At 38.7% G+C, this 25471-nt stretch overlaps 1 long non-coding RNA gene across 9 annotated transcripts in view; it reads left to right on the top strand.

Moving 5' to 3' along the window:
• LINC02911 (long intergenic non-protein coding RNA 2911) overlaps positions 1-25471 on the top strand; it is a 73031-nt gene that overhangs the window by 32824 nt on the left and 14736 nt on the right. For 2 of the 9 annotated variants that reach the window (XR_004837540.2, XR_004837539.2), the window contains 4 exons: positions 10791-10835; positions 18298-18339; positions 18647-18705; positions 19250-19389. This is a non-coding gene — a long non-coding RNA (long intergenic non-protein coding RNA 2911). Of the gene's footprint in view, positions 1-10790; positions 10836-11693; positions 11822-18297; positions 18340-18646; positions 18706-19249; positions 19390-25471 lie in introns of those variants that run through there. The other 7 variants (XR_007065211.1, XR_007065210.1, XR_007065208.1 and 4 more) reach the window with 4 other exon arrangements.

Genomic DNA, 25471 nt, shown 5'->3' with positions numbered 1-25471 from the left:
AAGAGAAAGAAGCAGAAATTTATTTGAAAAAATGATGACAAAACTTTTCTAATTTGGGGATGAAATATATACATTTAGTTATATGAAGCTTAAAGATTTCTAAACAGGTTAATTGTAAAGAGAACACATTATAATCACACTATCAAAAAACAAAAAACAATTAATTTTGAAAATAGTAAGAGCAAGGAGACTTGTCACATGCAAGGAACTCTCCAACAGGCTAGCATCAGATTTGTCAGTACAAACCTTGCAGGCCAAGAGAGAGTTGGATGATATATTCAAAGTGCTGAAAGAGAAAAAAAAAACCTGTCAAGGATGAATGCTTTACCCAGAAAAGATGTCCTTCAGAAATGAAGGAGAAATTAAAACTTTCGCAGACAATATCTCAGAGGGTTTATCACCACTAGACCCGAAACAATAAAAGGGAGTTCTTCAAGCTGAACTGACAGTATACCAATTAGTAACATGAATACATAAGAAAATATAAAACTCACCGGTAAAGGTATGTATGTAGTCAAAATCAGAATACTCTAATACTGTAATACCAGTATGTAAATTGCTTTTAAACTAGTATAAAAGTTAAAGGATGGGTGGCTGAGCACAGGAGTTTGAGGCTGCAGTGAGCTATGATTGTGCCACTGCACTCCAGCCCAGGAGACAGACTGAGACTTTGTATCAAAAAATAAAAAGTGAAAGGACAATATTATTTAAAAAAACCTATAGTTACAATAATTTGTTAATGAATACACAATTTAGAAATGTGAAATTTATGACATCAAAAGCATAAAATGTGGAAAGCGAAGTAAAATATAGAGTTTTGTATGTGATCAAAGTTAGCTTGTTTTAAGCATAAAATAGACTGTTATAACTGTTAGATGTTTTATGTAAGCCTTATGATAGCCATAAATCATAAACCTATAGTAGATACATAAAACATAATGGAAAAAAAGCATACTGTGACATGAAAATCATCAAATTACAAAAGAATATAGTAAAAGAAGAAGAAAGAAATGAAGAAACTACAAAATAGCCAGAAAACAATGAACAAAATTAGAATAGTAAGTCTTTAACTATCGACAACTACTTTAAATATAAATGGATTAAATTCTCTAATCAAAATATATAAAAAGGCTAAGTAGATAAGAAAAACAAGGCCCAAATATAAGCTGCCTCAGCAACTTACTGCAGCTTTAAGGACACAATAGGCTGCAAGTGAAGGGATGGAAAATGATATCTATGCCAATGAAAACAGAGAGTGGGATATCTATATCAGACAAAATAGTATTTAAGTAAAAACTGTAAAAGGAGACAAAAGAAGGTCATTATATAATAATAATAAAGAGGCCAATTTATCAGGATGATATAATAATTATGCATGTATGTGTACCAAACATGGGAACATATAACTACATAAAGCAAATATTAACGGATATAAAGGGATAAATAAATAACAATACAATAACAGTAGGAGACTTCAATATCCCAGTTTCAATGATGGGTAGATCATCCAGACAGCAAATCAATAAGGAAGTATTAGATTTGAATGGCACTTTAGGCCAAATGGCCCTAGCAGACATACACACATGACAACCACCAGAAACAGAATATACATTCTTCTCAAGTATACTGGGAACATTCTCCAGGATCTATCACATGTAAGCCACAAGATAAGTCTCAAAAAAATTAAGAATATTGAAATCATATCAAGTATCTTTTCTGACCAAAGTAGTAAGAAGCTATAAATCAATAACAGGAGGAAAACTGAAAAATTAACAAATATGTGGATATCAAACGCTCTCAAACAACCAATGGGTCAAAGAAGAAACCAAAAGGGAATTAAAAACTGTCTTGAGAGAAACAAAAATGGAAACACAACTTACCAAAACATAAGAGGCAGAAAAAGCAGTTCAAAAAAGAAGTTTGTAGCAACAAATGCATACATTAAGAATAAAGGAATATTTTTTAAAATCTAACTTTAAACCCCAAAGAACTAGATAAGAATGAAGTAAATAACAAGATCAGAGCAGAAATAAATGGAATAGAAAATAGAAAAACAATAGAAAAGATCAATGAAACTAAAAGTTGTGTTTTTGAAAATATAAACAAAACCAACAAGATTTTATTTAACTTACCAAGAAAAAAGAAAGACTCAAATAAATAAAATTATAAAGAAAAGAGGAGATATTACAACTGATACCACAGAAATGCAATGGATAATAAGAGATTACTATGAACAGTTATACGCCATCAAATCAAATAAGCTAGAAGAAATGAATAAATTTCTAGAAACATACAACCTACAGAGACAGACGCATGAAGAAACAGAATATTTGAACAGATCAATAATGAGTAAGAAAATTGAATCAATAATCAAAAATCTCCCAACAAAGAAAATCTCAGGACCAGATGTCTTCCTGATAAATTCAACCAAACACTTGAACAAGAACTACTACCAATTCTTCTCAAATTCTTCCAAAAAAAATTGAAGAGGAGGGAATATTTTCAAATTTATGTTATCAGGCTAGCATTTCCCTAATACCAAATCTAGACAGGGGCACTGCAAAAAAAATTATAGGCCAATATCCCTGATGAGCATAGATGCAAAATATCTTAATCAAAATAGTAGCAAACCATATTCAACAGCATATTAAAAGGATCACAGTCCATGATCAAGTGGAATCTATTCCTTGATCTATTCCTGGGATACAAGGATGGTTCAACCTACATATGTAAAAACTCCCAATAATTTAGGTATAGAAGGAGTGAACACCAACATACTAAAGGCTATATGTGACAAGGCCACAGCCAACATCATAGTCAACAGTGAAAACCTGAAAACTTCTCTAAGATCAGGAACAAGATAAAGATCTGAAAAAGAAATTAAGAAAACAATCCCATTTATGATAGCATCAAAAAGAATAAAATAATAAATTTAACAAGTGAAAAATCTATGCACTGGAAACTATAAAACATTGATGCAGGAAGTTGAAAAAGACACAAATAAATGGAAAGATATTCTGTGTTCATGGATTTGAAGAATTGATATTGTCAAAATGCCCATGCTACCTGAAGTGGTCTATGGATTCAATGCAATCCCTGTTTACAGAAATAGAAAAAATACAAAAAGATTCTAAAATTTGTATCGAACCACAAAGACCCTGAATAGCTAAAGCAATCTTGTGCATAAAGAACAAAGCTGGAGTCATCACACATAATGATTTCAAATTATATTACAAACCTATGGTAATCAAAACAGTATGATACTGGCATAAAAATGGACACATAGATCAATAGAACAAAATAGAGAACCTAAAAATAAACCCAGGCATATATAGTCAATTAATCTTTGAGAAAGCACCAAGAACACACAGTGGGAAAGGGATAGTCTGTTCAATGAATGTTGTTGGGAAAACTAGACATCCACATGCAGAAGAATGAAATTGGACCATTATCTGACATCATAAACAAAATTCAACTCAAAATAAATTAAAGACTTAAATGTAAGACACTTAGAAGAAAACACGGGGGAAATCTCCTTGATATTGGTCTTGGCAATGATATTTTTTGGATATGACACAAAAATCACAGGAAACAAAAACAAGAGGGACTACATGAAATTAAAAAGTTTCTGCACAGCCAAGAAAACAATAAACAAAATGAAAAGGTAACCTATGTAATGGATGAAAATGGATTACAAACTGTATATCCAATAAGAGTTAATATCCAAAATATATAAGAGATTCAAGCAATTCAACAGCAAAATTCCAGATAACTCAATTTAAAAATGAGAAAGAACATGGAGAGACATTTTTCCTAAGCGGACATACAAATGACTAGTAGGTATATGAAAAGGTGCTCAACATCACTAATCATCAGGGAAATGCAAAGTAAAATCCCACTGAGATATCATCTCATATCTGTTAGGATGACTATTATCAGAAAGTCAAAAGGTAATGTGTTGGTTACTATGAAAAGAAAAAGGAGCCCTTACGTACTGTTGGTGGAAATGTAAATTAGTACAGCCATCATGGAAAACAGGATGGAGGATTCTCAGAAAACTAAAAATAGAATACCGTATGATCCAGCAATAATTTATTTGTGTCTGGGTATATACCCAAAGGAACGGAAATCAGTATGTCAAAGAGGCATTTGCACTTCCCTGTTCATTACAGTTTTATTCACAATAACTACAATATGGAAGCAACCTAGGTATCTCTCATTGGAAAAACAGATAAAGAAAATGTGGTATATTACTCAGTCTTGAAAACGAAGGAAACCTTGCCATTTGCAACATGATGAAGCTGGAGGACGTTATGGTAAATGAAATAAGCCAGACACAGAAAGACACTGCATCATCTCACTTATATGTTGAATTTTTTTTAAATGAGCCCGTAGGAAGAGAGTAGAATGGTAGTTATCAAGGGCAAAGGAGTGGGAGAAATGAGGAAATGCTGTTCAAAGGGTACAAATTTTCAGTTACAAGATGAAAAAGTTCTAGATACCTAATGCACACCATGATGACTATAATTAATATATACCTATTGTACACTGGACATTTGATAAGAGAGTAGATCTTAAGTGTTCTTACTATAAAAATAATGAGATTACTATAAAAATATGTGAGATTGTGGGATGGTGGGTATCCTAATTAGCTTGATTTTTGTATTCATTACATAATGTATACATATATCAAAATATTGTATTGTATACCTTAAATACATACAATTTTATTTGTCAATCAAACTTCAATAAAGCTAGAAAAAAACAAAGTCTTAAATAAAGAAGTAAACCTTTACATTTATAGTCAATTGATTTTTTATCAGGGTACCAAGATAACTTAATGGGGAAAAACAGTATTTTCAGGGAAAGGTGCTGGGAAAACTGGATATTCACAGATAAAAGAATAAAGTTTGACCCTTACTCATACTATATACCCAAAGTAACTCAATATCTAAACATAAGAGTGAAAATTATGAAACTACTAGAAGAAAATATAGCAGTAAATCTTCATGATCTGTGATTAGGCAAAGCTTTCTTAGCTATGGTATTAAAAGCACAAGGAACAAAAGAGAAAATAGATACATTAGACCTCATCAAAATTAAATCCTGCTCTTCGAAGCACACTATCAAAAATGAAAAGACATCCACAGAATGGGAGAATAGTTGAAAATCAAATATCTGATAAAAAAATTATGTTAGAATATATAAAGAACATACACAAGTCCATAATAAAAAGACAGTCCAATTTAAGAGTGGGCAAAGAACTTGAATGTATACTTCTCCAAAGAAGACAAACGAATGGCCAATAAGTGCATAAAAAGATGTGCAGGACCATTAGCTATCAGAGAAATGCTCTTCAAAACCATAATAAGATACCACTTCACACCCACTAAGACGGCTATAATAAAAAGATAGGTAAAACAAGTCTTAGATTAGTTGTGGAGAATTGAAGCTCTCATATACTGCTGGTGGAAATGTAAAATGGTACAGTCACTTTATTTGAATATTTGAATAATTAATGGTACAGTCACTTTAAATATTTGAATGACTATTCAAAAGTTAAACATGGAGTTACCACATGATCCAGAAATCCCACTCTTAGATACAGACCCAAGAGAAAATTATGTCCACACAAAAACTTGTACACCAATATTTATAACAGCATTATTCATAATAGCCAAAACCAGAAACATCTCAGATGTCTAGCAACTGATGAATGAATAAACCACATTGTTGTATTTATATAACAGAATATTATTCAGCAAAAAAAGAGAAATGAAGTACTCATATATGCCACAACATGAGTGAAGCCTGAAAACACGCTATGTGTAAAAAGCCAGTTATAGAAGACCACATATTATACAATTTTTTTTTTTTTGAGATGGTGTCTCACTGTCACCCAGGCTGGAGTGCAATGGCGCCATCTTAGCTCCACCTCGCAGGTTCAAGTGATTCTCCTGCCTCAGCCTCCTGAGTAGCTGGGATTACAGGTGCCTGCCACCATGCCTGGCTAATTTTTGTATTTTAGTAGAGACAGGGTTTCACCATGTTGGCCAGGCTGGTCTCGAACTCATGACCTCCAGCGATTTGCCCACCTCAGCCTCCCAAAGTGCTGGGATTACAGGTGTGAGCCACCGTGCCCAGCCTGTATGATTTTATTTATATAAAATGTCCAGAATAGCAAAATTGTAGAGTAGATTAGTTGTTGCCTAGGTCTGGGTGAAAGTGGGGAGGAAGTGACTGCTACAGGTATGGGGTTTCATCTGGGGATGATAAAGCTGTTCTAAAATCGTGGTGACAGTTGCACACCTCTCTGAAAGGCACTAAAACCTCTGAGTTATATACTTTAAATGGATGAATTGTGTGGTATGTTAATTACACCTGAATAAAACTATTACATTAAAAAAATGGGCTGGGCGCAGTGGCTCACACCTGTAATACCAGCACTTTGGGAGGCTGAGGCGGGTGAATCACGAGGTCAGGAGTTCAAGACCAGCCTGGCCAACATGGTGAAACCCCATCTCAACTAAAAATACAAAAAATTAGCTGGGTATAGTGGTGGGTGCCTGTAATCCCAGCTACTCGGGAGGCTGAGTCAGGAGAATCCCTTGAACCTGGGAGGCAGAGGCTGCAGTGAGCCGAGAGGGTACCACTGCACTCCAGCCTGGGTGACAGAGTGAGACTCCGTCTCAAAAAAAAAAAAAAGAAAAAAAAAACAGGCTTCTGCAGGCACTGAACACTGTGGTGGGGTGGGGAAGCAGGTAGGTACCTGGGTAGAATCCCAGTAGGGTACAGGAATAAACTTGGATGAGGAAAAAAATACCTCTGCTAACTTCTACCTATTAGAATTGTAATCTTCTATTGTGAATGTACATAACAAACTGCAATGGTACTAATGGTACATGTGATTGTATTCACCAGTAGAAATCCCTGATATTTTCATTTTATATTACAGTTACCTCAGGGATTTGAGAAAAATTATTTATGCTCAATGGCATTTCAAAATCATAGTAGCTCTTAGATTAACCAGTAGATCTTATTAATGTTACTGGCCTGTGTGTTACTGGTAACAGACTCACTTAGGTAAGGGATCAAAGGGAAATACAACTTTCCTCTTGCATGCTCTGTCTGCACAAAGCAGGAACGTCTGGAAAGAGCCAGCCTCCCAATCAGGACTGGCCACCCTCTCTCTCTTCCTATTCCTCTCTGCTGTCTGTGACTACTAGCCACCTCAGATTCAAAGCAAAAGCAGAAAGCCAGAGCCCTACTTTAGTTTTTTGGCTTAAGCAATGTGGTTCAACCCAGTTTTAACCTCTATATGAAGGAATTGAAGCAGAAGTCATAATCCCAATTAGCTACTGTATCTTCTATTTAGAATTCTTTGAACAAGATCTTCACAGGGAAAGAGAAGTGAATGGTCTTATCCAGGTCTCACACCTCTATTACAAACCCCCTGTTAATAACTCTATCAGATAATCCCTCCAGTAAGAGGTTAACATTTAATGAGTGCCTCTGTATCCTAAGGATATAGGTACTCAGCAAGTCATATATACTATCCTATCTGATAAAATCAGCTGAGATATGGACATTAATTCTCTGTATTAGTAGTACAGATGAGTGAATTGGGATGTATAGAAATGTCATAATTGACCCAAGTTCACCCAGCTAATAAGTGGAAAATCTTGGGTTCAAACACAGGCTCCTCTGACTGAAAGTTTCGTGTTGATTCTACTACTTTCAATAAAGTCAAATAGAACAAACAAATTTTACTTCCCTTTTTGGACTCTTAATAGGCATGATATATTTATCATAATATATCATGAGGAAGAATCCCCCCCTCTACAAAAATGACAGGAATAATATTTTTTCTGGATGTTTTCCTTTGGGTTGTTGGGGGAGAAATTTTTTTTCTGAAGCACATTCTTTGCTTGCATGATAGAGTACTTGGAATTGTTTTTAGAAATACCTGCACTGTCAGTTAAAGTTAACTCTTTTCTTGCTGATGAATTAATGTTGGCATAAGCCTTCTGCTAGAAACTGTTCTTGGACACAAGAAAGTTTTCTAATTGAAACCCTGCTTTTGGCTCCTCTTTTATTATGAGCCATTTCAGTAAGTGGCCCCATCATTTGTCCAGTTGGACAAGCCAGCAATATGGAAGCCTCCTCCTGTTTCACTGCTTGTAGTCAGTCCATCACCAAAGTCCCATCAATTCCAACCTCCCAAATAGATCTCAAAGATATCCACTACTTCCTGTCTGCTACCACCGCTATAGCAAAACTATCATGGTCTCTTGCCTGCGCCATGCAGTTGACTCCCCAGGTCTATTTATTCCTGCTTCCTTACTCTTTGCCCTTTTTCCCATCATTTCTCCACATTTCAGATCCTTCAGTAACTTGCCTTTGCTCTTAGGATGGCATCACCTCTCCTTAACTTGACAAACAAAGCTCTTGACTATTGACCCTAAACACTGCCCTATCTTACCTTACCCCTTCATCCTCTTTACTCTCTTATTGCCAGTTTTATTTACCTTCTCTATGAATCAGGGTATGATAGGTTAAGCTGCAGCAACAAGCAACCCCCAAATCACAGCATCTTAAAAGCACAAAGGCTCATTTATTGCTCACAGTACGTATCCAGTATGTATTAGAAGTGGCACCCTGCAGGAGTGTGTGTGCACTAGAAGAAAGCATAGCCAATTGCACGCTAGCTCTTGAGGCTTCCATGCAGGCATGGTGTGCATACACACACATTTATGTTCCCATTGCATTGGGCAGAAAAAGTCACATGTCCACATCCACATTCACAGAGTCAGGGACATGCAATACCAGCAGGTACCTAGGTACCCAGGAGGACAGAGAATCCACATCAGGACATTGCACCTGCTTCCTTCTTCCACAGGCCTTTAAACAAGCTGATTCCTCTGCCTGAAATGCCTTTCCTTTTATTCTTTTATTTTTTTCAATATTGCCCATATTTAAAATACACCCTCCATTCCTTGAAGTAACTCCTGTATTATTCTCTGCATCTAAGCTCAAGCTTAGGGAAACCTTCCCTCCCTGGGTCAAAATATCCATATTATAAGCTCTTATAGCAAAATATACATGTATAAAACTTGCCATAATTGCAATTTTATCTTTGTTTGAATGAATGTGTGATAAATATCTGTCTCCCATATAAGACTGTAAACTCTATGAAGAGAGTGACTGCATTGGCTTTTGCTCACCAGTGTTATAACAACAACAAAAAGCAACACCTATTACAGACCAGGCATAGTTCTAAGCAGTTTGACACATGACTCTTTCATATTTATAATAAATGAACTAACTCATTCATATTTACAATAACCCTATGAGGCAGATATGATGATTACTGTATTTTGTAGATAAGAAAATTGAGGCACAGAACTTGTCCAGGTTCATGCAGCTAGTAAGTGATGTGAAGCCAGGGCTCAGACATAAACCTCTGACACCAGAATCATGCTCTTGACCATTGCAGTTTACAAGCGTCTAGACACCCCATGGTGCCAAAAGAGGTGTTCAGTAAATACCTTTTGAATGGCCCAGTGAAGGACTAAACCAGTATTCTGTGATGCACATTCAGGAAAAGGCTACCATGGGGTGATTTTTCTGGAATGTCCAAGCAGGAAATTTCCTTAGAGATCACCTGGTTCAACTTTCTTCTCTTATGGACTGGTAAGCCACAGCTCAGAGTTAAGGTTGCTGCAGAGTTGGCTCTTCTATCTCGTTTGGCAGGAATGGCACATCGGCTGGCATCTCTCAGAGCCACACCTTTCTTATTTCATTAGGCAACAAAGTAGAAAATGGCACCAGTGGGGATTTCTTCCAGTAGACCAATGGAAACTTTTGTGTATATGAAAGATTTGAGTGCAGGGTATGGAAGTGACTTTTACCTACTCTCTTTTCTGAAATTAGATTTTCTAGGACAGAAAAAAAAAAGAATGCCAAAGGTAATGAAATCTCCACGGTTACACACACAGTTTAAATTAACAGTGTGAGTCAGTGTTTCAGAATAGAAATAGCAACAAAAGCTGACATCCTGGGAAAAAATGACTCAATTAACTGTATGTGCACTGCCACTGGTTCAAATTTCGATGATTTGTAACCAGAGACCTGTGAAAATTAAACCCCAAAGGGACTGTGACAGAATTTGTATCTAGTTACCAGGGTAGCTGGTTCACTGGGGTATGTGGTGGTGATGGTTGAGAACCTTTGATTTCCTAACCCACTGTGGAGATCTAGATGTCTGGTACCCATCACTTGGAGGCACAGAGTGCCTCATGGATGAGGAAGCATGCTAATCATCACCTCCATAATTCTCTCTCCTGGCATCCAGGTCCTTAGCAAAGTCCATTTATCCAGCTCGCTGAGAAAGGAGAAGACATATAATAGGTTTTGGCTAAATACTTCCAGAGAAACGAGTAGATCAGGTGTTTAGAAGGCAAATATCTTTATGAGATTTACTTATTTTCTCTCCAAGGAGAAAAGAGCACCAATAGCTAGCTTATTAAAGATTGCTTTGAACCCTGAGAATTACACAGATTAAAAGGGGAACATTGTGCCTTGTGGTACTCAAGCATCCTTTGCTGCAAATGGGAATTGACTGAGCCAAAGCCTGGTGAGAATAGTGGAAAGAGGAAGTGGGTCCTGGGGCTCCTTGGAGGTACAGCTGGAACAGGGAAGTCATGTGGAGGCTACAATTCTACTCATCCTCTTTATGTTCTCCCTTCAAAGCCCCCATTTATTATTTCAATTTTCTATCTTTGTGACAGAGTGGGCTTCTATGACTTCTGCCTTGCCCTGGAGGTCCAATACAGGTGAGTCACTTGTGCAGCAGTAAGGACAGGAGGGCAGAAGAGAAGGAGCCTGGTGCTTGGGGCTGGAAAGTGATAGTCAGCAATGCATCCTGTGCCCCTCATCCTACTCCCAACATCTCATTCTGCCTCAGATTTTTGGCACATAGATGGACCAGAGGGGGCATGGCAGCATTTATATCCAGTTGCTGGAGCTTCTATAGAATTGGTCCTCTTGTGTAGCCAAATACTGCAGGGTTCCTTGCAGTTAGCTTAGTACATGATCTGCAATCCAGGAGCACTGCCTCTAGACTACATTCCAAGACATTTCAGTATATTCTTTTTCTATTTTTGTTGCTTTCTGCCTAGGAGTCATCAATCCATTCATCCTTTCTGCCATACTCATCCCCCACCAGTACATGAATTTATTTCTTCAACCAACAAACACTTGTTTTATGCATATGTGCCACATACTGTGCTCTGTTTTAGGGGACACAGAGGCAAGTGACTCAGTCTCAAGGTAGACCTAGAAAAAATCAGAGAAGGGTGGAAATTTCTTAGTTGCTGAGAGCATCTAGCAAATAGCCAACCTCTTGTGTCCCATGACATGCTCAACAGCCAGGGGCATTCAGGCTCTGTCTGCACAGTGATTGTGAAAAGTCTATGCTGGGGCTTACTTAGCCCTCCTGGAGAAGACATTAAATTATTCTGTCACCCACACTGTTAAGCTTGGTGACTGAATCTAGCTGCTTTATAATCAGCCTAACCCGGAAGGAAGGGCACAGTAGCACTGGGAATATCACCACCTTCCTTTCCTACCCCATCCCAGCAGAAAGCTGACCATTTCCCAGGATGCCTGTATTTCTGCTTACTGTTCCCAAGGTCTAGCTGAAGATTCTTCCCTCTGGAGAGGACTGGGCCTCTTGTTTCAGAAAATTGCAGCAAAATGGAAGAATAGAGAGATATGAACTTGTCATGAGGGCAGAAGATGATCGGTTTCCATAACTTGGTCAATGACCTCAACTAGGACACAGTTAAATGAAATCATATATGTGTGTTCTTTCATTATTGTAATTGGTGAGTGCTAATTTGAAGCATGATCTTTCAAGTGGTAATCCAGAATCTGCTGCAGAAACAGTAAGAACATCAATCATCATTTGAGGCTGTAGATGATTTCATCCTATGAAGAGCTAGCCTATGAAGAGTTTCTCTGGAGGCCTCTGAGGTAGGCAGGGCAAGAGATGACCATCCTATTATACAGATGAGGAAACAAGGCTCGAGCAATAATGGCTATGAACACTTCTATGAGTCTGCTGCTGCCCGGGGCACTCTCCATATACCAGGCATTTTGAACTTTTACAGATGAGGAAACTGAGGCCAAGAAAGGATAGGCCTTTTTCCCTAAGACACACAGATAAGGATGTAGTAAAGCTGAGTTTCTAGACCAGGACTTTTAGACGCCAGGTTCACTCTTTAGAGACCCTGGCTATCTTATTTTATCCTAAGGTCACACAGCCATGAGTGGTGGGTCTGGGAGGGGAACCCAAGGGTTTGACTCCCACCCTCTAGTATTTCTCCATTGCTTCATTTTCCCAGTACGGTCTTCATCCTCCTGAATTCCTACTTAGCAAAATGGCATCTGGAGAAGTTGTGCTGGCTGCCACTTCAAGGAGGCTGAGTGGTGGGCATGGGCTCTCAGCCACTGCCTATCGACCTAGAAGGAAACTATTCCCAGTAAAAGCCTTAAATCTGTGGTGATGAGAATTTTCTAGCTTACTTGAATGCTGTGATCTCATCTAGGCTTGGATACCTGGGATCACAGATTCACTGGGCAAAGACAAACCATTTAAAAATGCAGGTCCTGCCATAAGCAGAGCCTGCAGAATCTGTAGAAATTGTGCTCATTTACTGTATGCTGGGCAGGGAATAGCCACTCATACTGAGCACTTATGAGGCACCAGTCACCACACTAAGCATGTGGTCTGCATTAGGTTGGTATTCTTATCTCCACCTAAAAGATAAAGAAACTGAGATTCAGAGAGACTAACTAGTGTGCTCCAAGTCACACAGCTGGAAAGGCCAGCTAAGATTTTCACTCTAATTTCTGTGGCTCCCAGAATCCAGTCACCAAGAGGCACCCTCTGCTGTCTGCTAAACCAGGCTGCCTGTCAGAATCAGAAGAGGAACCTCCATCTGGGGTTCACATTGTGAACAAGCAGTAAGAGAAGAAAGGCAGGGCAGATGGGGACAGAATGCAAGTCAACTCCAGAAGGCTGATGTTAATGGCCATGAGGGTCTCTGAAATTTCATTGCAATCCAGAAATACAATTTCACAGTGGCACAGCCCTCTCTCTGGCAGGATAGTGCAGTATCTGGAGTTTCTTCTTTGCCATTGAGATATTCACCCTCAGAAAAGGCATTTCGCATTCCACATTTTTCTTGAAATGTACAGGTTGAACATTTACATTTTCTTGAAATGTGCCCTACTTATTGATTTAAACGTTTGTAAGCATTTACATATTTATATAATTTTTATTGCTGCTATATAGAATCTTCAGTTCTGTTTGATTTTGCTAATTGCCCAAGTGCCTTCTTTGTACTGAAGTATCAATATTAATAATGATCAAAGGCCTAAAAGCGCATAAGCATTCTCTGTTTCCAGCTTCTATTTTACGAATAAAACATTGATGCTCTTTTTAAGTTGGCCATCACTCATCTGGGAGATTTTGCAGACAATAACAGTTCATTAGTAATATCTGGTGGGGGAAGATGTATGATGCTGTAAATATTTAAAATCAAATTTGAAAAAGAAGACAGAGATGAATGCATGGGATGGGGGTGGGGGGATGAACATGGTGCCCAGGGCTATAGTTTTCACAGCAACTTCCACTGGGGCCCTGCCATTGTTTTCCCTTGTAAGTTCCATGAAACGGGACTTAGCAATATAGCTGCATCCAGCAGGATCCAAAATGGCCTTTGTGGAGTTTAATGGGCATCTAGGCTGTGGTCCTTCTAAAAGTAGCCCCCTTGATGGGGACTTGCGAACAGGTAATTTATTTGGAAGCTGATTCCAAGGAACACTGTTAGGGAGTCTCACATGATAGGAAAGGAAAAGGGCCAATGAAGAGTGTCACACATGAGGTATTGCTGTGGATAGGTAGGCCCAAACCCACTTGGAACCCTTTAAGAAACCACTGCAAGGGGACCTAAGGGGCCAGCAAACCTTGGTCCATCTTCCAGCAGCTCTTTTCCTAAATTGGTAGAGTGCTGCTCATGGAAGGGTACTGGCTCCCATTTCCAGCTAGCCCTGAGCTCAAGCCCGGGTAGACCCATCAGGATCTACAGGTGGGATCTATGCACATGTTAGCTCCTGGGTAAGTCCCTGAGAATGGGCAGGACCCATTCAGCTCAGCTACAGGGGGTGGGTGTGAAGTCTAGGGTTAGTTTGTTGAGGTGGATGGTAGAGAAAATCCAGCTCACCATGTATCTTTTGGAACTCCAAACTCCAGGTTTGCCTTCCCCATCACATCCAAGAGTTGTAGAGAGTAGAAACTGGTCACAAGTGACAGTCTAGTCCAGCTAGGGAAATTGAAACAGTGTCAGCAACAGAGACATCACACAATGGTACTCAGCCAGAGGAGGAATGGTTATCAGAGAAGGCTTCCTGCTATGGTTAAGAGGCAGCCCAGAAATGGCTTTGGAATGCCGCTTCTTCTATTCACTTCCTTCGGGTTATGTTTGGTGGACTCCGACCCTTGCTGGGACTGACTGGGAAATGTTCTCCCTCCAAGCCCCACTCCCATTCCCAAATCCTTTGTTCCTCAAAGAGCTCATATCCTGCTCTCCAGGCCCCTGACCCATCTTTCCCATCTTGCTTTGTAAAAGTTCCCTGAGGCAGAGTGTGGTGGCTCATGCCTGTAATCCCAGCACTTTTGGAGGCTGAGGTGGGCAGAACACTTGCGCTCTGGAGCTCAACCACCAGCCTGGGCAATATGACGAAACCCCATCTCCAAAAAGAAAAAAAATTACAAAAATTAGCCAGGCATGGAGGGCCAAGCCTGTAGTCACAGTTACTTTGGAGGCTGAGGTGGGAGGATCACTTCAGCCCAGAAAGTTGAGGCTGCAGTAAGCTGTGATGGCACCACTGCACTCCAGCCTGGGCAAGAGAGTGAGACCCTGTCTCAAAAAACAAACCAAAAAAATAAAAATAAAATAAAATAAAACTTCCCGAATATGTTTTATTTCCTTGAATCCCTGTTTACTACAAAAAAAACCCTGATCTGTACTCTGATGCTTTGAACTGAGAATGGATGAAAATGGTATATTTTTCAGTGGAGGATTCTTAAAGCTAAATTGTTTTAGCTAAAGTAAGTGGGTTTCTAAGGTTTTCTCCTGCTCTGCTTCATGCATGTCTATAAAATCACAAAATGTCAGAACAGGAGGGAATCTTAGGCTCATCTAATTCAACGTCTTCGGTTCACAGAGTTGTAAATCAGGGCTCAGAGACAAGATGGGACTTCCTCGAGGTCATGACTAGGTGACCTCATGACAAGCTGGTAGGAGTCTATCATATATTTGTTAAAAGACCTCAGAGCTGGGACAGAACCTTGGAGCAAGTTCCTTTGATCCAAGGCACACAGGTAGTGGGGGAACCAAGTACACATTTCCCACCCTGCCAGAACAGGGCCTGGGCGAACATTTTTGGCACATCTGCCTTTGCTAGAGGAGCTGCAAAGAGTTTTACATTAAATACATTGCTAGTGGCCTTGGTTCCATCTTTACCTTATGATTAAATCTACTTTCAAATGTAGAGGCCAAGGAGTTGTTTAAATATCCTTCATGATGAGATGTTTATGAATGTGAGAGGCCATACCTTCTTTTTTTTTATGCCTCTGACAATATCTTCCTGTGTGCAGTCAGAAGCTGTCTGTCTGTAACATCCACCCTCTGACTTTGTACTTAGCACTGAGATCCGAAGGCAGCTCCCTTGACAGCCTTACAAATGTCCACATTGTACCAGATCTAATGTTCCTTGTGCAACTGCCTTTTGATTGCCCTCATTTTCCTCTTTATACTTTGACAATTGTCACTTGGCTTCTTAGAATATAGGACTCATAACTGATTACAGAACTCTGCATCAGTGGTCTGACCAGCATAGAGTGGGCAGTCCCTCCTCTTGCTTGGTACCTGAGTGATCTGCAAAAGTACTTTAATTTCTACATATAAACATGTTAATTTAGCCTCCAGTCATCATTTGTATTTGTTTTTAGTAATATCATAGTGGCACAAATTTACCTTAAACTCAGTGGAGAACTGTAGGCTTTTACTGTTTTGCTGTCAACTCCTAATCACCCCTTTTCCCCATTCTGTACTTGGGCAGCTGGTTCTGAGAGCAGCAGTTACATTTTTGGCAGGCCTAAACACATGTCTTATATGCCAACTGGATGGATTATTGTATAATAACTTCATATTGACATATTTACTACACATAAATACCATCATGACAATTGAGAAATAGGATTTGCTATGCCATCAAAAAATCAATCTACAGAGCCACCCACGGTGGCACATGCCTGTAGTCCCAGCTACTTGGGACGCTGAGGTGGGAGGATCGCTTAAGCCCAGGTGTTTGAAGCTGCAGTGAGCTATGATCATGCTACTGCACTGCAGCCTGGGTGACAGAGTAAGACCACGTCTGTTTAAAAAAAAAAAGAAGAAAGAAAAATATTAATTTGCAAAATAAGCTTAGTAAAAAAAATTCTCTAGCTAAACAAAGGTCTCCTAAACACACTGTCATTATTACAAAAGAGGATTCTACAAAGATAGGGGATGGGGTTGGAGTGGATGGGAATTAGCATTACTCGTGTCTTGATGGAAATCAGGGCACCCTTGTGCTTAGTCAAAAGGCCTCTATGGAGGGCTGTGTACCAAGTGAGTGACAGATGAGTGAGCAGAGGTAAAAACAAATGACTCGCAAAATAATAGACCCATAGACACTCCATGGAGAGGGCTCAGGTGAAGAGGATTTCATTAAGTTTGGGAAATGCTTTCCTTCTTAGAAGTTATTAGCATATTAAAAGTACTGAGAAATTTTGTGATGAAGAAACACAAATAACTTTGTTTAATCATGATTTCTCAAGCCTTCTGTGTCCATCAAAACCTTTTCTTTTACAAATAACTCCAAATAAATTTGGTAAATACTGCTTTGGACAGAGATTTTCTCTCTCTGTCTGAAGTTATCTAAAGTTTGCCAGAATCTGAGTTTGCTCTTTTCAAAGGGCTCTGTTTAGAGACCATAGAAAAACTCGCAAATGTTTACTAACCTATCTCATTTCAAGTCATGGTTCATAAGAACTGTCACAAATCCAGTGACACACCAAATAAAGAATATCCTTTTCTCAAACTGACATGGCAATATTAAGATTCCTATGTAAACATATTTTCCCAAGGATTTCATTATTGGGTTAAGAAAGAAAAAGAAAAAATGGGCATTTTTTTTTACAAGTAGGGATTTTTGTTGTTCTTATTGACTTGAGATTAGAACCCACAAATATTTACTGAGTCCTGTGTATACACTTGAGATGATTCTAGGTCGTGTAATGGATGTCGACAGAAAATCATAAACCGTCACTGTTTTTGCTGCACTTACAGTCCAGCAAAACTAATATTAATAGAGAAAGGGTAAATGCTCCAACAATGTTTCCTAGAATATGGCATTTGTGAGAATTAATCAAAAGAAGAAATCTGTGGATTGGAGAAGATGTGGGAAGATTTCATGGAGTTAGCGGGACTTAAATATGGCTGGGAAAATTGGGAAGAATTTTTAGAAGATAAGAGGATAAATGGAGCCCCAGGCAATTAAAAAACTAACTCTTGACAAGGGGCCTCTGGGAAATTTTTTTTTCCTGGGCCTGAGCTATTCCAGGAAAATGTTCCTGTCTATGAAGAGTATCTTTGCTCACCAGACTTTCATCAGAAGTAGAAGAAGCTCGGAAACTTTAAATATAAAGCTGACTGATGCAACTAAACTATATGTCAGGAGTTTGAATTTAGATATTAATAGGTATTTGATATTAAGATAGTAATTATAATTACTATATATTAATTAATATATAGTTATTGTATTTTAATATGTATTAATTAATTATACTATATAATACTAGGATTAGTATACAATAAATTGGTATTATAAATAATTACTATAACTATATATAACGATATTTTTATATCTTATATTATAATAAATATTAGTAGTATATAATAATATATGCTGTATAATATAGCACTAATATTACGATATGATTAATTATTAATTAATATATAGTGATCATAATAGTACTAAGTATAATACTAAATAATAATGCTATGTTTTAACATAAAAATTCAAAACAGATATTCATATAAATAATATAATATCTAAATTCAATATCTAATATTTAAAAAATAAGAGGGTAATTGTTTTTTGTCTATGTCTATTTTTTATAAGGACCAGCAAGTTATTTCTGTGTGGACAGCCCAGTCCCAGAAGGTAAAACCATTCTTAACTATAGTAAGGACCATCACACTCAGCTGACCTAAGAGCCTAACAACCTGCTCTTTGGGGGCAGTAGGACAATGGGGTAGGAACTCCATCCTCGCTGCCGCGCCTTCATGGTACGGTAGATGCGCTTTTTCTCTCCCTTGCTAGACAGGGCCGCCTTGGGACCCTGTGGGCTATTGGATGGCGATTGCTCCAACTTTTTTGCATTCAACATGAGCAGCTTCCTGGCAAGAGTACTGGGAAACTATAGCCTGAACTTTCCTCTTAACAGGGACCCTTTATTTTTTCCGCACAGGAGCTTGGGAATACAGCAGCAGGCTTTAAAGCTTGCCTGTCTTTCGCCTACGCTTCTGGGTAAGATCTCACTCATTTAATAAGAAAAGACCCTGCTTCTCAGCTTCCCCGTTGAAACTAGAAGGTAAACTAGAGAAAGAAAAAAGTGATCTCCTATCTTTCTCTGAAACACATCTTCAGGAGGTCCTGACCCCACCGTTTCCCCACTGAGTATCTCTTCACTCACATTTCTCAAATTCCTGTTTACTGGCCATCTTTCCACCACCCTCTCCTCTCCACTCCTTGGACCAGGACCAAAACTTCACACACACACACACACACACGCACACACGCACACAAAGCAAACTAAGACTGATGAGTTCCACTGAGGACTGTTTCATGGCCCAGTGAAAGGCTGTTGGATGGTGGAATTCTCCAAGTGCCAGAAGCATCCACCAGCTTGCAGGCAGGAGACGGGGCCCTTCACCTTTGAGATCATTTCCACGGAGGCAGAACAGTGTGGTGAGGGCCAGAAACAAGACTTATACAGTCACCAACACAATACTTGGAACACAGTTGAAATTCATTAAATGATTCATCTTCTCCTTTTTATCATTATTTTTAGAATCCTCAAGTTGTGTTGACCCACCTGGGAACACTGCTGGTTCCAGAATGCCAAGCTCCAGTAATTGTATAAAATAAAATTAAAATACCAGAAGGATGTATTTGCAAACAAACTATAGAGCTTTAAGATTATACAGCAGTTAAGAAAGTATGAGGTGGGCGTACATGTGCCAGTAAGGAGGAGTTTAAAAAGCAGGATGGAGAACAACGTGAATAATGTGATCACATTTTTGCTTTTAAAAACCAAAGTTCCATGTAATACACAGCTACCATTTGATAAGTTATTAGTGTTTACCTGGCACTGTGCAAAGTGCTTTTAAAACCCTTATCTTGGCTGGGTATGATGGCTCATGCCTGTAATCCCAGTACTTTGAGAGTCTGAGGCAGATGGCTCACCTGAAGTCAGGAGTTTGAGACCAGCCTGGCCAACATGGTGAAACCTTGTCTCTACTAAAAATAAAAATACAAAAAATTGGCCGGTGTAGTGGCATGTGCCTGTAGTTCCAGCTGCTCAGGAGGCTGAGGCAGGAAAATCGCTTGAACCTGGGAGATGGAGGTTGCAGTGAGCCGAGATGGCACCACAGCACTCCAACCTGGATGATAGAGCAAGACTCTGTCTCACAAAAAAAACACAACAAAAAATGTTAAAAAAAATAAAACCCTTATCTCCTTTCATGCTCACAATGCTGAGAGAGTGGTATTGTTGTCCATGCCATTTTATAAATGCAAAAATTGAGTTTTAAAGAGGTTAAATAACTTTCCCAGCATCATACATTCAGGTAGTCTGATTCCAGAGCCTGTTCTAGAAGTCATGATACAACTTAGGTGTCCAAACCTAGAAAAACACAGGGAAGAGCACACGCCACTCTTGTCAGAGGTTACATCTGACGATAAGGGATGGGCTGGAAAGATAAGTTTGAGACATTTATTTCTTACTCTAAATTAATATATTACTTCATGTATTTGCAACAAATGTATATCAGTTTAATAGTTAAAAAGACAGTCCTTTTCACAAAAGAGCGAATATATAATCTCACCTATATGAAATATATAAAATAGGCAGATTCATAGAGACAGAAAATAGATTCAAGGTTCTCAGGGACTTGGGAGAGGGGGAAATTAGGAGTTAATGCTTAATGGGTGCAGAATTTCTGCTTGGCATAATGAAAAGTTTTGAAAATAGTAACAATGGTTGCACAGCACTGAAAATGTAATTAATGTCACTGAATTCTTAAAAAATGGTTAAAATAGTGAATTTTATATTATGTATATTGTACCATGGAAAAGAATGAGAAGGAGCAGGAGGAGGAGGAAAAGAAGGAGAAGAACAGCAAGAAGAAAGAAGAAGAGGAGGAGGAAGAAGGAGGAGGAGAAGAAGAAGAAGAAGAAGGAGAAGGAGGAGAAGAAGAAGAAGAAGAAGAAGAAGAAGAAGAAGAAGAAGAAGAAGAAGAAGAAGAAGAAGAAGAAGAAAAGAAGAAGAAGAAGAAGAAGAAGAAGAAGAAGAAGAAGAAGAAGAAGAAGAAGAAGAAGAAGAGGAAGAAGAAGAAGAAAGAAGAAGAAGAAAAAGTAGTGGAGGAGGAGGATGAATTCATTTGGTTTTTGGGAAACTCTCTCTATTTCCCTTCTTTTTCTCATTTTGCCTGTACGTTGTTGTGTCACAGAGGTGTGGCATCCCCAGTGCCTCACAGGGCCAGTGAGATATAACTGCAGCTTTACGTATTTGGACATGTGGTTGTGTCACTATCCCTGAGTAGTGGAAGGTGCCTCTGAGCACCAGCTCCTTTGCTTCCCTGTGTGGTGTGAAGCCATATACTTGTGATTGGCTCAGTGTTGGGCAAAGAGATTCTTTTTTAGAGTACCTTGGAGTGCTCTACAAGACCTGAGAGGTCATGGGCACAGTCTCTGTGGAAAATATCTTACATTCTATATTTTTAAAAGGTGGGATTGGGTTAGGCTCTGGAGGTTTTATTTACATGAACAAGACCTTCATATGGTGGATTAGAGAAGTAGGCAATTATTCATTCATCCATCCATCCACCCACCCATCCATCCGTCTATCCATCCATTCCCGTCCATCTACTTATCCATCCATCCATCCTTCCATCCATTTGTATGAGCACTTTATTAAAAAATCTTTAAGGAGTACCAACTATAAGCCAGACTTTTAGCCAAAAACTGAGTAATAAGCATCACATTTTTTGTAGGACTCTGAAAATCAGCATGGTGTTATAGCAAATAATTTAGAATAGGCTTCCAAGATCATGGCTTTTTCAATCATTTTTATTTACTCACGGTGTGACTTCGGGCAAGTTCCTTCCCTTCTCTCAGCCTTTCAGGTGATCTCAAAGTTGCCCTCCAGCTCCCAAATGTGCTGATTCTATTCTTATAGCTAGTCTCAGGTGGTCCAGAAATATTTTCTAGTATGTCTACAAGGCTGTGGGTGTGAGCAAGACACACATAAATTGAAATGTTGTGTCTTTATGTTCATGCCAGTAAAAAATGATAAGAATTGTTCCTGTCCCAGTCAGCATTTGAGTGCTTAATGTTGGTAGTGATGAAAATAACAGAAAAAATATGAGCACTTGCACATATAGAAGAAATATGTGATTATGATTTATAGAATTGAACTAAAGAATAGTTGTCCATCTGGGAAAAGATTTTATAAACACCAGATAGAAAAGCATGTTCAGCTCCCCTATAGATGGCATGAAAGAGTGCTTAATAATGGGTAAATATGCTTTTTGCCGCATGTGTGTGCCTTTAACAAATATTGACCTGTCCTTTGCTGTTATATTTCAAAACGTGAGTAAATCAAAATAAGATGTGTTTTATGGAACTCTCTTGTTTTATTATCTGTCATTTAATTTTTAATACCTAAGTGACACCTGATATATTACCTAATCAAAAGAAGAGAATTATACATTGCACATAATCAGTTACTTTTGCCATATCACAGAAATTAGACTAACAGATGAGGAAAATAAATAAGATGAACTTTAAAAATGAAAATGCTTAGCCTTTGGAATTTTAGTTGACAGCTTTTGAAAATTAAATGATAAGTCAAGTCCTGATAGGTTTGATATCTTCTTTGCAGTTTTGCTGATGATGTATTGCAGCTTTAATGGAATATCATTTATCATCTGATAATAACAAATGTAGTATTTCTGAGCTTGTCATCTCTTCTGTGATGACAAATAGTCCAACTTGTAGCGGCGATAATGGAATTTTATAATGATGTGTCCTAAACTGACTCAACTGCAGCTGAGCTATTTTTCTTAAATCTCATAATGCCTATTACATGTAGATTACAACAGTCAGTGCCTCCCATCTAAGCGTGAGCATGGATCAATGAATCCAGATTTTAGGCAAACAGCCCAAAAGGATCTAACCATATTTACTTGTTTATCAAGATTTTTCCTGTTAGGCTAATAAGAGAGCTTGTCAGAGGTTGTTGGAAATGGCGAACTATAACATTTAGAGGATAAAATAGGTGATGAAAACTCTGTTTATCTCTTCAACAGTAGGCAGCGTATCCAGTTTGCAATTCTATTCATCCAATCCATCACTTCATCGGGATTTATTTAATGAAGGCCTTGTGCCGAGAAACACGAGTTAGAGAGCCCAGCCACTCTTCCACTTTATCTTGAAGCAGGATTTATTTTATGTCTTAACTCTTGGCTTGTCTGATAGCATCGCCTTGTTGCACCTGTACATTCTATAGTCCAAATCACTCGCCTTCTTGACACTTTTCTGAAACTTCCAAACAGCCTGCAGTGTTACAGAAAACCTAGATTTGGAGGCTGTGAGCATCTTGAAATATTGCATTGTATGTGTGGGCATGGCTATGGCAGCCATGATGCTCTGAAGGTCACCTCCTGGGAAGGAAAGATACTGACATAATTGGATGAGCCACCTGAGTGGATAGTGGAGGGGACAATATTTCCATTGCAGATGTGATTTTTACCCTCATCTAAGCAGATCTGATTTTCTGGCTGTGGTCACAGCAGGCCAGCATGTGGACAAAGGGAAACGCCTGGTGTGAAGGTGTTAGTTTTGACAGTGAGTGAGCGTTATGTACAGAAATGAAAGACAGAGCATACTGCTAATGGCAGGCACTTATATGCAAATTGATGCCCGACATGCCTGAAGCCTTCACAGGTGGAGACAGACAAAGGTAATGGGAAGTGTGTATTTCAGATGGGCTCTGATTTCATAGCTTCTCAGTCTTTGACCATGTGTTTCAATGTCATCTTGGATGTGATCATTCTTTTTCTTTTTTGGTGGAATTTTACTCCTGGCCCAGCTTAAGCATCTGATTCCTTCCTTCAGACTCTGAGCTTTGCAGTAAAGCCTGTACACCCCACTTTTCTTGGGTTTCTTCACTTCTGTCTGTGCTTCTCCATTCCCATTTTCTCCTTTTCTCTCTCTTCCTTCCCCTTTCTCTTTGACTTCTCTTTCCACCTTTCTTCTCTCTTATACTTCTTTTACACAAAGGGTCACAGATTCCAAGTAGAGAAGATGAAGGGGAAAGGAGACTTCGTGTGAACTCGATGATCATGGATTTCACTTCAAATACAAACCATGTCCAGCTAATTGTGGCCAGGTGAGGGGACTGGCCGCAGGTGACCAGGTCTAAAACCCTTTCAAACGAAGTTGGAAATGTGTTTTTTTATATAAAAGGCCGTGTTTGAAAATATTACCAACTACTTCAATGTTTCTTTTTAAAATTATCTGGGGGGCCTAATAAAAATTGAACTCAGAACAAAGGCCACCTCTTTGTGAGCTGTGGTTTAGATACGTGACCTGGGTGACCTCATCTACTCCAATGACCCCAAGTACTCACCACTCAGAATAGAGCCAGCTCCTACTCTCTCTGGTCTTATATCTATTTTTCCAACTATCTGTCAGATGCTTCATAAATATTTCAAGCTCAGAGGCAGGATAAGAGTATTGAGAGGAAGATTCTTGATTTAGATAGAAGGCTTACTTCAGAAGGAGTGAGAAATAAGATCAAGTAGGTCAGGAAGAGATTTTTAGGGAGTTTGGGTGATAAGAAGACAATGTCAACTGGTTGGTAAGCAATAGGGAGCCATTGTGAGTTCATGAGTACGAGAGTGACATAGCAGAGGAAGATTTTAGGAAGATGAGTCTGGAAAGGAGAGAAAATGAAGGCAGAAATGGAGGGAGGGTGGGAAGTAAGGTCTCATATAAGAATTCAGCTGTAAGAATGGAGATGTGGATGTGAAATGAGAGAAGTTCTCAAGATACAGGTGACTGGATTTGATATATTTAACATGGATAATTATAAAAACAACATCTAGAAGAGGTTGATGATAACTCTTATAAGAAATGTAGCAGCCAGATGGTGGAGCACTGTGGTAGGAGAGGCGAGATGAAGACCAAACTGGATAACAGCTTTTCCCTTCATTTCAGTTTTTTTGTAGTGTTTCACTTTGATCTCCATTAATTATACTGTAGCCCTTAAAAAGAAAAACCATCATCCCCAATATTTTAACAGTGTGTTTCTTTCAACAAACATGTGGACACATTTGTGGAGAGCCTCCTCAGACCATGGAGCTGTCCCAGGGCAGGAATACAGAGATAAATAATAAAATTCCTGCCCATGAAGAACGCAGAGACCCAAAGAAAGATTAATAGTGTAGATTTCAGTAGAGAAAGAACTGGACCATAGTAAAAAGACATATTCTGTGACTTTGGGGAAGTGATATAATACAACTTTACTTCATTTTTTTTCTTTATTATTATTATTATTATTATACTTCAAGTTTTAGGGTACATGTGTGCAACGTGCAGGTTTGTTACATATGTATATATGTGCCATGTTGGTGTGCTGCACCCATTAACTCCTCATTTAGCATTAGGTATATATCCTAATGCTATCCCTCTCCACTCCCACCGCCCCACAACAGGCCCCGGTGTGTGATGTTCCCCTTCCTGTGTCCATGTGTTCTCATTGTTCAATTCCCACCTATGAGTGTTTGGTTTTTTGTCCTTGGAATAGTTTGCTGAGAATAATGGTTTCCAGCTTCATCCATGTCCCTACAAAGGACATGAACTTGTCATTTTTTATGGCTGCATAGAATTCCATGGTGTATATGTGCCACATTTTCTTAATCCAGTCTATCATTGTTGGACATTTGGGTTGGTTCCAAGTCTTTGCTATTGTGAATAGTGCCGCAATAAACATACGTATGCATGTGTC

The sequence above is a fragment of the Homo sapiens genome, chromosome 16 (genome assembly GCF_000001405.40).
Source record: "Homo sapiens chromosome 16, GRCh38.p14 Primary Assembly".
Classification (NCBI taxonomy): Eukaryota; Metazoa; Chordata; class Mammalia; order Primates; family Hominidae; genus Homo; species Homo sapiens.
Note: the sequence above shows the minus strand (reverse complement) of the source record. Positions and strands in the feature narration are given on the sequence as shown.